This window comes from Homo sapiens, chromosome 2, assembly GCF_000001405.40.
Source record: "Homo sapiens chromosome 2, GRCh38.p14 Primary Assembly".
Taxonomy (NCBI): Eukaryota; Metazoa; Chordata; class Mammalia; order Primates; family Hominidae; genus Homo; species Homo sapiens.
Window position 1 is genome coordinate 187,526,177 of NC_000002.12, and position 12,675 is coordinate 187,538,851.

At 36.6% G+C, this 12,675-nt stretch overlaps 1 protein-coding gene and 1 long non-coding RNA gene across 15 annotated transcripts in view, besides 1 other annotated feature; one reads left to right on the plus strand and one right to left on the minus strand.

Moving 5' to 3' along the window:
- CALCRL-AS1 (CALCRL and TFPI antisense RNA 1) overlaps positions 1–12,675 on the plus strand; it is a 544,253-nt gene that overhangs the window by 522,904 nt on the left and 8,674 nt on the right. For 2 of the 3 annotated variants that reach the window (NR_187178.1, NR_187180.1), the window contains exon 4: positions 646–2,682. The exons of the other annotated variant lie outside the window; for it this stretch is intronic. This is a non-coding gene — a long non-coding RNA (CALCRL and TFPI antisense RNA 1). Of the gene's footprint in view, positions 1–645; positions 2,683–12,675 lie in introns of those variants that run through there. 3 annotated transcript variants of the gene reach the window in all.
- The window catches only part of TFPI (tissue factor pathway inhibitor), a 90,206-nt gene that overhangs the window by 61,947 nt on the left and 15,584 nt on the right, over positions 1–12,675 (minus strand). For 7 of the 12 annotated variants that reach the window (NM_001329241.2, NM_001329239.2, XM_047445619.1 and 4 more), the window contains one exon: positions 3,188–3,309. The exons of the other annotated variants lie outside the window; for them this stretch is intronic. The gene's annotated coding sequence lies outside the window, so the exon portion shown is untranslated. The remainder of the gene's footprint in view (positions 1–3,187; positions 3,310–12,675) is intronic. 12 annotated transcript variants of the gene reach the window in all.
- Positions 3,846–4,140: a silencer, noted in NCBI's record as "tiled region #10664; K562 Repressive non-DNase unmatched - State 15:Elon". NCBI's record gives its function as "represses a minimal TATA promoter and a strong SV40 promoter by Sharpr-MPRA in K562 cells {active_cell/tissue: K562}" and the evidence as "EXISTENCE:reporter gene assay evidence [ECO:0000049][PMID:27701403]".

Genomic DNA, 12,675 nt, shown 5'->3' on the forward strand with positions numbered 1-12,675 from the left:
GACTTTTTGAAGGTCTAAAAATATAACTGAAAAATAGCACTGATTTGGAAAGAGTTTAGGATCAAACCGAGAGACATTTTTGTTTGAATTTGGTTAAGCATGGGAGCTTAGATTTGAAAGACTACAAGTGGTAAGGTGAAGCAGTACAGGTCTCAATGTAAAAGACATGTTCTAAAGATTCAGATCCATTGGAGCTAAAATATTTTGGCAATTTGGCTTTGGTGGCCAGAAGAAAAAACCTCGAAAGGAATAGCAACAGATATTGACAAAAATGAAATTTATGGGATGAAAAAAAAGAGCAAGAAGCTCACATAGAATTAAAGAGAGTAATAGGATTAAATCATAACATTAAATTTCCAGTTCATTATTTTGGGAAAAGCATGATACAACTAGCAGGCAGTTATTGATCTGTTTTATCATTAGTTTTGGGGTATACACATTATTTTATCATCTTTAAGTGAATCTAGAAAAAAATTTATGGTGCTAACATGTATACTAAAAGCATGGTACTTATCTAAAGTTTCTAGTTCAGATTTTTCTCTTTATTACATATTGTTGAATTTTTTTCTTTTTTAAAGTTTTACTATTAATCTCTAAGCTCAATGAGTACTTTGCCATGTCTAAAAGAAGGAAATTTCATTTTAGCTGCTGATTTATGGTGTACCAGTGGAAGACAGGAGAGACAAAACCTGACAACCAGAAAAGAAAAAAAAATAAATTGAAGAATCTTTCTAATTTTCTGCTCAGCAGTGGCTAATGTTGTTGTCCTCTTGTTGTTGATTACTTCCATCCACTCAATTTGGCTGATCTCCAGGGGGCCTACCCTTCTGTCCACTAAAACCTGGCAGCCTGTTTTTTGTTTTGTTTTATCTTTAACTGATGTGCTTTCATTTTGTTTTATTCTATTTTGATTGTTTTTCATTTTGGGTGAGTTTACAGCACACTAATACCAAAGAAAATGAATAAAGAAAACATTAGAATAAAACTATGTTGGAGGAGAAGGGGAACAACAAACTCTACAGGAATTCTGATAGCTTTCTATTTCCTTTTTTTGAAGTTTACTTTTTGCAAGTAGTATTCTCAATTGTAAATCCACAAAATATTGAGAATAACTAGGATCTGCAAATGGATTTTTGTTAATAAACATTCTTTACTAGATTTCCAACTGTATTTCCCCAATGGAGAACTTGCATAATCTCAGGGAGAGGTTTGAGAGCCAGATTTTTCTCAGGAAAAGAGTATTTCCTGAATAAATACATTGTGGGAATGCAAATGTTTGAGCAGTTTCCCAGGGGAGGTTTAAGGCCGTGTGACTGCACATTTGCCACGTACCAAATTCTAACAAGTCGGCACAGAGCCTGCTTTATCTCTTTATTAATGTCCCTGTTGGGTCCCACATTTTTGGGATGTCGAGTCATCACTATAAAGATTATTTTGGCATTAAGGTTCTTTATATATGACATAAAATTAAAAAGATAAAATTTTGTAAATTTGGCTGTATGCTGAATATATACCACATTTATTTAAAGCAATAATATTAGAAGTGCAAAGATGTATCATTATAAAACATCATTTTTTATAATGGTTTACTATTTTCACAGTGGTTTCTTATCTGTTAGACTACATATTGACAATAATACTGTGCAAGTATGTTGAATAGTGCTATGCAGGTACGTTGAATTTATCTTAGAGCTACATAATATATTTTTCAGCATTATATGACTAGATGGCTAGTAAGTGACAAAGGCAGAACTAGAACCTGGACTACATTATCCCAGAACATCCTGAAAAATAAACAAAATATATGAAATAGAGGCCAAAGCCCAACCCAGGAAAATATAATAAATAAATATATTAATTAAATTTGTCTATATTTATTTTTGATTCAGTGAGTTGCCTAAATGTTTTCTATTTCTAAATTAAAATCTAAATTTCATTTATATTTATTATCATAAAGTACTTCTACATCACTCTATCCACATATATAGGAATCTGGGTTTCAGCCCAAACCCTAATTAACCTCATCAGAGAAGGGCGTAGGTCTAAAGCTTAGAAACCTGGAGAATTGCCTCTCACAGCTGGGAATAGGGCAAAGAAGTTCACCCAACAGTCAAACCCTGAATGAATGGATTAGTACAAGCCTAAACAAGAGAATGTCTAAAGAGATACTTGAAAATCTATTAAGTATTATATTTATTTTCCCTTCAAACTTGAAAGGAAATACAAAGCATTTATATACCAGTTTTTTTTAAAAAAAGTCTTGGCTAAAGAGTTGAAAAGAGCAAACCCTGTTTTATTTCAGCCTCCTTTCAAACATGTTATTATGGTCAATTCAAATTATCTGGGATGAATTGTTATATGAAGATTAAGTCTGTTTAGATTTGCTCTGTAGATGCCATTTTATTACTATAGGAACGTTAAATTACAGTTTGTCCTTCTAATTATAACAATCATAATGTAAATAGCAGTTTCCATTGTTGAATCTTTATTATTATTGCTTTTCTCATTTGTATCTCATACTCACCTTAAAAGAACATTATCTTATGCTCATTTTATAAAGGTAAGAAACAATGGTTCAAAATAACAAATTGTCCAAAAAACAGCAGTGTAACTATATTTGACCCTGAAGCAAATGCCTTTAATCACTGCTCTATGCTGTCAGATTTTTTAAGATAGTGTTGGTAAAAAAAAAAAAAAATTAGTAAAAATCATATTTAACACTGATGTATAGATTGAGTAGTGTGACTCCTTTTTATAAAAATGGTAAGAATTTGAAAAAGGCAGTAAAGATTTGATACAGGCAGTCACCATCTTATAATGGAGTCATTCCAAACTATGTTGGTAGGACCAGTTTTTTGGAACACTGAACATACAATATTATAAATGAAATTTATGTTGATAGTTAACTGGTAAAAACAAACGAACACGAATAAAAAAGCCTCAATGCATAAGGATGAACTAGTCCAGGTTTGAAGTTTGGTAAGAATGCTGCATCAGACCCAGTTCAAGGTGGCTTTTATTTGCTATCACTTCCAAACAGCCAATAAGTCTTAGAATGGATCTTCACCAGGTAAGAATACAATTGATTCTGTGAGTGAAGCTCTCAGGAGCTCTCTCAGTCTATTAGGGTTGCTGTAACAAAATATCACAGACTGTGTGGCTTAAACAACAGAAATTTGTATCTCACAGTTCTGGAGGCTAGAAAATCCAAGATCAAGGTGCTGGTCCAATCGTTCCTGGTGAGGGCTCTCTCTTGGCTTGCCAATGGTGGCTGCTTTCTCCCTATGTCCTCACATGGCCTTTCCTGTCCTGTGTGCACATGGAGAGAAAGAAAGATATCTTTTCTCTAAGGCCTTCTTTAAGGCCATCAATCCTACTGAATTAGGATTGAACATTTATTATCTCATTTATGTTAATTACCCCCTAAAACCTTACCTTCAAATGCAGTCACATTGGGGGTTAGGTATCCAACATTTTGGGGAAACACAACTCAGAGCAGGAACATTCCTAGTGTTTCAAGAAAGTGTCTCTAACTTGGTTGCAAGTTTGTCTTGGAAGTGGGGGTCACTGCCTTTCTATCAGTAGGCTGGAGCTGAAGATACATCAGCCCTAGAGTGCACTTTCTAATGTGCAATTCAATTCTTTCCTTTCCACATAGCTATAGACTTTGATTCTCTGTTTCTTGCGGCATTACTAACCTTTAGGCAGGACTGGTCATATCAATCACATTTCTATTGAAAATACAGCAATCGCCAACTTCTTATGTTGTACATTTTATGATAATTTGCCCAAACTATGGTGTTTGTTTATTCGTTTGTTTTTGGTTGTTCCTTAAGAGTGAAGTACTGGTCTGGGAAAGTGACTGTTTTCTGTAAGTGTTCTCCAATGAGAAAGTGTATTTTTTGCTCACAATAAGAAGGAAAGACTTGGCAGGGAAAACAGATCCTCACCTTCGAATTCCTTCTCTACCCTTATTTCTCAACTGTAATTGCAAATCACATGTAAGAGAGCAGAAGGCACTGCCCTGGAGGTCAATTCTTGTAACCTGAAATTGAGTAATATATTTGTTTTCTGATTCAGTTAGTTGTGCAGACTAACTATGAAAGTACCCAGAAGGCTTGTTTTGAAATTGGAGATCTTTTTCAAAATTGCGCACAATAAAATTCGCATACTAAACATTCTAAGGGCCCTAATCTAAATATGTAATATTTACCACAAGATTTTAGGAAAATGATCAGTTATTATCATGAATATGAAAAAAGTTGGAAAGACATTCCCAATGGCAGCAGAGAGAAAACCTGGTAAATCCTACCCATATTGTCAACATTATCTCTTCACTTTTGGCATCGTCCCCTGACTTAATCACATGAATGGAATGGAAATATTGCTTCTATATAAAATCTCTACTCAAGTGGTGTCTTTCAGAGCGTAAAATAACTTGATGGTTACGTTCTCTTCCTTCCTATGCTTTTTAAATCACTGTACCTCTTCCTGTGTTACACATTATATATTTATTTGCTTACTCTGTCTTTTCTCTCAAATGTAAGCTCTTTAAATATGGGAATCATGTTTGTTCTTTCTGGTACCCTCTGGAACTCAATGGATATTTGTGAAATAAATCTTTTATGAATTAAAAATTCGGTAAAAATTGTTTTATTTTGTATTTTTTTTACAGAAAGTAAAAGGTCACTGGAGAAATTTAAAACAAATATATAAGCTAAAATTATTTTAAATGGTATGAATAAAAGTGAATATAATGGGTAATGGGCCTCGAGTATAAACTAATCCTTTATTAGGGAAGACAATTATTACTTAACTAATCATTTTTCCTTTCTTCCACCTTTGTTTCTCACAAAACCTGTCCATATTCTGTACTCATAAAATGTATTCTCAAAACTTCTATTAAATGGACAGTAATGGAGTCACAGCAGCATCTGGCCACAACTGACTTGCCAAGGAGTCAATACCTTTACAGACTCAGGCTAACTACTGTCTGTAGAAAGGTGTGTGGTATAGAGTTCTACAGAGGGCCAGTACTAGAGAGGCTGCTGCAGTAAACTTAGTTGTTTATATTTTAGTTTCTGGCTTAGCTCATGACTGTAGAGTCTCTAATATACTCTATATTCTACCAAAGAATTCCAAATTGTGCTTTCAAGGTCTTATTATATAAAATGTTTATTGTGTCTGAATGAATTCAGTCCGACAATGAATCATTAAAATGTGATGTATTTTATCAGCACCTTATTGATGTAATAATTCGTTTCTTTTTACAGTTATTACAAGTGTCAATAACAGAAAAATATTCACAGAAATTTTTCTGTTTTTTTGCAACCATTTGATTATAAATAAATTTTCATATCAATTTTTCTATTTAAAAATATCGATAGCATATTCCTCTTTTGATATGATTTATATGATCATGATAATCGTACAAGTTCTATGTCAACCAAAAATTTTATTTTTCCTCATCTCTGCAATGGGAAAAATTAAAAAAGGTTTACCAATGCAGTCACCTAGAAATTGACCATTTTATTTATGTTTGATGCCATTTACAAAAATAGTTTATTTTTCATGTAAGTGATACATTGACATGTCTAAAGACAGCATTCTATTTGATATTATTAAAATTGTATTCATTATAGTTAAATAAAATTTTTCTATGACCTTTTATAATACACTTAAATACTTTCTTCCAAAGGTAGAAAGGATTGAGAGAATGAAGATTTCTTACCAACTGCTTTTATTTAAAATTTTTTTTTCAAAATTGGAGGATTCTATTTATTTTTAGCTACATATTTAACTAACTGTTCTATTCTTTTAGTATTTAAAATATTAAAACTGTCTTTTTACACTGGAAAAGTAATACATGTGTATTTTTCCAAATCATAAAACATAAAGCAGAATAAAGAAAATACAGAATAACCATCAATCTGCCTATTCAGAAGCAACCTCTGGTTGTATATGATTTCTTATGCATGTTAATATGTATAAGTGTGTGTATATGTGTGATTATATTTATATGAGCATATGTGAATGATCATTGCACATATATTGTTTGGTAACCTCCTTTGTCATTGAATGAGATAATATTGATAACTTTTGAGTTGCAGGCAAGATGGCTGAATAGAAACAGCTCTGGTCTGCAGCTTCCAGTGAGATCAATGCAGAAGGTGCGTGATTTCTGCATTTCCAACTGAGGTACCCAGCTCATCTCATTGGGACTGGTTAGACATTGGGTGTAGCCCATGGAGGGCAAGCCGAAGCAGGGTGCTGCGTTGCCTCACCTGGGAAGCACAAGGGGTCAGGGAACTCCCTCCCCTAGCCAAGGGAAGCCGTGAGGGGCTGTGCCATGAAGAACAGTGCATTCTGGCCCAGATACAACGCTTTCCCCATGGTCTTTGCAACCCGCAGACCAGGAGATTCCATCGCGTGCTTACGCCATTGAGGCCCTGGGTTTCAAGAAAAAAATTGGACAGCCTTTGGGCAGTCACCTACCAAGCTGCGGGAGTTTTTTTTTTCATACCCCAGTGGCGTCTGGAATGCCAGTGAGACAGAACCATCATCCCCTGGAAAGGGGGCTTAAGCCAGGGAGGCAAGTGGTCTAGCTGAGTGGATCTCAGCCCCATGGAGCCCAGCAAGCTAAGATCCACTGGTTTGAAATTCTTGCTCCTAGCACAGCAGCCTTAAGTCGACCTGGGATACTCCAGCTTTGTCAGGGGAGGGGCATCCGCCATTACAGAGGCTTGAGTAGCCGGTTTTCCCCTCACAGTGTAAACAAAGCCCCAGGGAAGTTCCAGCACAGCTCCTCAAACCCACTGTAGCCAGACTGCCTCTCTAGATTCTTCCTCTCTGGGCAGGGCATCTCAGAAAGAAAAACAGCAGCCCCAGTCAGGGGCTTATAGATCAAACTCCCATCTCCCTGGGACAGAGCACCTGGGGAAGGGGTGGATGTGGACACAGCTTCAGCAGACTTAAACATTCGTGTCTGCCAGCTATGGAGCGAGCAGCGGATATCCCAGCACAGTGTTCGAGCTCTGCTAAGAGACAGACTGCCTCTTCAAGTGGGTTCCTGACCCCCGTGCCTCCTGACTGGGAGACACCTCCCAGCAAAGGTCAACAGACACCTCATACAGGAGAGCTCCAGCTGGCATATGGTGGGTTCCCCTCTGGGATGAGGCTTCCAGAGGAAGGAATAGCAGTAATCTTAGCTGTTCTACAGCCTCCACTGGTGATACCCAGGCAAACAGGGTCTGGAGTGGACCTCAAGCAAACTCCAGCAGACCTGCAGCGGAGGGACCTGACTGTTAAAAGGAAAACTAACAAACAGAAAGGAATAGTATTAACATCAACAAAGAGGACATCCACACAGAAACCCCACACAAACGTCACCAACATCAAAGACGAAAGGTACATAAATCCAGAAAGATGAGGAAAAACCAGCACAAAAAGGCTGGAAATTCCAAAAACCAGAACATCTCTTCTCCTCCAAAGGATCACAACTCCTTGCCAGCAAGGGAACAAAACTTGATGAAGAATGAGTTTGATGAATTGACAGAAGTGGCTTCAGAAGGTGGGTAATAACAAACTCCTCCAAGCTAAGGGAGCATGTTCTAACCCAATGCAAGGAAGCTAAGAACCTTGAAAAAAGTATGGAGAAATTGCTAACTAGAATAACCAGTTTAGGAAAGAACATAAATGACCTGATGGAGCTGAAAAACCCAGCATGAGAACTTCGTGAAGCATACACAAGTATCAATAGCTGAATCAATCTAGTGGAAGAAAGGATATCAGAGATTGAAGATCAACTTAAGGAAATAAAGCATGAAGACAAGATTAGAGAAAAAAAAGAATGAAAAGGAATGAAGAAAGCCTCCAAGAAATATGAGACTGAATGAAAAGACCAAACCCACATTTGATTGGTGTACTTGAAAGTGACAGGGAGAATGGAAAGAAGTTGGAGAACACTCTTCAGGATATTATCCAGGAGAACTTCCCCAACCTAGCAAGACAGGCCAACATTCAAATTCAGGAAATACAGAGAACACCACAAAGGTACTCCTCAAGAAAAGCAACCCAAAAACACATAATCATCAGATTCAACAAGGTTGAAATGAAGGAAAAAATGTTAAGGGCAGCCAGAGAGAAATGTTGGGTTTCCCATAAAGGGAAGCCCATCAGATTAACAGTGGATCTCTCTGCAGAAACTTTACAAGCCAGAAGAGAGTGGGGGCCAATATTCCACATTCTTAAAGAAAATAATTTTCAAGCCAGAATTTCATATCAAGCAAAACTAAGCTTCATAAGTGAAGTATAAATAAAATATTTTACAGACAAGCAAATGCTGAGAGATTTTGTCACCACCAAGCTTGCCTTACAAGAGCTCCTGAAGGAGGCACTAAATATGGAAAGAAACAATCGGTACCAGCCACTGCAAAAACATAACAGATTGTAAAGACCGTCAACACTATGAAGCAACTGCATCAACTAACAGGCAAAATAACCAGCTAGCATCATAATGACAGGATCAAATTCACACATAGCAATATTAACCTTAAATGTAAATGGGTTAAATGCCCCAGTTAAAAGACATAGACTGGCAAATTAGATAGAGTCAAAACCCATTGGTGTGCTGTATTCAGGAGTCCCATGTCACGTGCAAAAACACACATTGACTCAAAGTAAAGGGATAGAGGAATATTGACCAAGCAAATGGAAAGCAAAAAAAAAAATAAAAAAATAAAAAAAATCAGGGGTTGCAATGCTAGTCTCTGATAAAGCAGACTTTAAACCAACAAAGATCGAAAGAGCCAAAGATGGGCATTACATAATGGTAAAGGAATCAATGCAACAAGAAGAGCTAACAATCCTAAATACATATGCACCAAATACAGGAGCACCCAGATTCATAAAGCAAGTTATTAGAGACCTACGAAGAGATTTAGACTCCCACACAATAATAGTGGGAGACTTTAACACCCCACTGTCAATATTACACAGATCAATGAGACAGAAAGTTAAAAAGGATATCCAGGAGCTGAACTCAGCTCTGCAACAAGCAGACCTAATAGACATCTACAGAACTCTGAACCCCAAATCAACAGAATATATATTCTTCTCAGCACCACATCACACTTATTCTAAAATTGACCGCATAATTGGAAGCAAAACACTCCTCAGCAAATGCAAAAGAACGGAAATTATAACAGTCTCTCAGACCACAGTGCAATCAAATTAGAACTCAGGATTAAGAAACTCACTCAAAACCATACAACTACATGGAAACTGATCAACCAGCTCCTGAAGGACTACTGGGTAAATAACAAAATCAAGGCAGAAATAAATAAGTTATTTGAAACCAATGAGAATAAAGACACAACATACCAAAATTTCTGGGACACAGCTAAAGCAGTGTTTAGAGGGAAATTTATAGCACTAAATGCCGACAGGAGAAAGTGGGAAAGATCTAAAGTTGACAACCAAACATTGCAATTAAAAGAACTAGAGAAGCTAGAGCAAACAAATTGAAAAGCTAACAGAAGACAAGAAATAACTAAGATCAGAGCAGAAAAGAGGGAGATAGAGACAGGAAAAACTTCAAAAAATCACTGAATCCAGGAGCTGGTTTTTTAAAAAGATTAACAAAATAGACAGACCGTTAACCAGACTAATGAAGAAGAAAAGAGAGAAGAATCAAATAGACACAATACAAAATGATAAAGTGGATATCACAACTGATCCCACAGAAATACAAACTACCATCAGAGAATACTATAAAAACCTCTAAGCAAATAAACTAGAAAATCTAGAAGAAATGGATAAATTCCTGGACACATACAACCTCCCAAGACTAAACCAGGAAGAAGTCAAACGCCTGAATAGACCAATAACAAGTCCTGAAATTGAGGCAGTAATCAATAGAATACCAACCAAAAAAAGCCCAGGACCAAAGAAATTCACAGCCGAATTCTACCAGAAGTACAAAGAGTAGCTGGTACTATTCCTTCTGAAACTATTCCAAACAATAGAAAAAGAGGGACTCCTCCCTAACTCATTTTATGAGGCCAGCATCATCCTGATACCAAAACCTGGCAGAGACACATGCACAAAAAGAAAAATTCAGGCCAATATCCCTGATGAATATCGATGCAAAAATCCTCAATAAAATACTGGCAAACTGAATCCAGCAGCACATCAAAAAGCTTATCCCCCACCATTAAGTTGGCTTCATCCCTGGGATGCAAGGCTGGTTCAACATATGCAAATCAATAAACTTAATCCATCACATAAACAGAATCAATGACAAAAACCACATGATTATCTCAATACATGCAGAAGAGGCCTTTGATAAAATTCAGCATGGCTTTATGCTAAAAACTCTCAATAAACTTGGTATTGATAGAATGCATCTCAAAATAATAAGAGCTATTTATGACAAACTCACTGCCAATATCATACTGAATGGGCAAAAGCTAGACACATTCCCTTTGAAAACTGACACAAGACAAGGATGCCCTCTCTCACCACTCCTATTCAACATAGTATTGGAAGTTCAGGCAAGGGCAATCAGGTAAGAGAAAGAAATAAAGGGTATTCAAATAGGAAAAGAGGAAGTCAAATTTTCTCTGTTTGCAGATGACATGATTGTATATTTAGAAAACACCATCATCTCAGTCCAAAATCTCCTTAAGCTGAAAAGCAACTTCAGCAAAGTCTCAGGATACAAAATCAATGTGAAAAAACCACAAGCATTCTTGTACACCAATAACAGACAAACAGACAGCCAAATCATGAGTGAACTCCCATTCACAGTTGCTACAAAGAGAATAAAAGACCTAGGAATACAACTCACAAGAGATGTGAAGGACCTCTTCAAGGAGATCTACAAACCACTGCTCAAGGAAATAAGAGAGGACACAAACAAATGGAAAAACAGTTCATGCTCATGGATAAGAAAAATCAATATCATGAAAATAGCCATACTGTCCTAAGTAATTTATAGATTCAATGCTATCCCCATCAAGCTACCATTTACTTTCTTCACATATTAGAAAAAGCAAACTACTTTAAATTTCATATGGAACCAAAAAACAGTCTATATAGCCAAGACAATCCTAAGCAAAAAGAACAAAGCTGGAGGCATCACGCTACCTGACTTCAAACTATACTACAAGGCTACAGTAACCAAAACAGCACGGTACTGGTACAAAAGCAGATATAAAGACCAATGGAACAGAACAGAGGCCTCAGAGATAACGCCACACATCTACATCCATCTGATCTTTGACACACCTGACAAAAACCAGCAATGGGGAAAGGATTCCCTATTTAATAAATCGTGTTGGGAAAACTGGCTAGCCATATGCAGAAAACAGGAACTGGACCCCTTCCTTATACCTTACACAAAAATTAACTCAAGATGCATTAAATACTTAAATGTAAGTCCTAAAACCATAAAACCCTAGAATAAAACCTAGGCAATACCATTCAGGACATAGGCATGGCCGAAGACTTCATCACTAAAACACCAAAAGCAATGGCAACAAAAGCCAAAATTGACAAATGGGATCTAATTAAACTAAAGAGTTTCTGCACAGCAAAAGAAACTATCTTCAGAGTGAACAGGCAACCTACAGAATGGGAGAAAATTTTTGCAATCTATCCATCTGACAAAGGGCTAATATTCAGAATCTACAAAGAACTTAAACAAATTTACAAGAAAAAAACAACCCCATCAAAAAGTGGACAAAGGATATGAACAGACACTTCTCAAAAGAAGACATTTATGCAATCAACAAACATATGAATAAAAGCTCATTATCACTGGTCATTAGAGAAATGCAAATCAAATCCACAGTGAGATACCATCTCACACCCATTAGAATAGCAATCATTAAAAAGCCAAGAAACAACAGATGCTGGAGAAGATGTGGAGTAATAGGAATGCTTTTGCACTGTTGGTGGGAGTGTAAATTAATTCAACCACTGTGGAAGACAATGTGGTGATTCCTCAAGTATCTAGAACCAAAAATACCATTTGACTCAGCAATCCTATTACTGGGTATACACCCAAAGGATTATAAATCATTCTACTATAAAGACATATGCACAAGTATGTTTATTGCAGCACTATTCACAGTAGCAAAGACTTGGAACCAACCCAAATGCCTGACAATGATAGACTGGATAAAGAAAATGTGGCACATATACACCATGGAATACTATACAGCCATAAAAAAGGATGTGTTCATGTCCTTTGCAGGGAAATAGATGAAGCTGGAAACCATCATTCTCAGCAAACTAACACAGGAACAGAAAACCAAACACTGCATGTTCTCTCTCATAAGTGGGAGTTGAACAATGAGAACACGTGGACACAAGGAGGGGAACATCACACACCCTGGCCTGTCAGGGGTTCGTGGGACTAGGGGAGGGATAGCATTAGGAGAAATACCTAATGTAGATGATGGGTTGATGGGTGCAGCAAACCACCATGGCACTTGTATACCTATGTTACAAACCTGTATATTCTGCACATGTACCCCAGAACTTAAAGTAAAATTAAAAAATTAATAACTTTCCAAACTGACTTGCATAACCTTATTTAATGGCTGCATAATATTTTTTGGATATTTAAAAATTTATGTTACCATTCTCATATTTTTGGGCAATATCTAT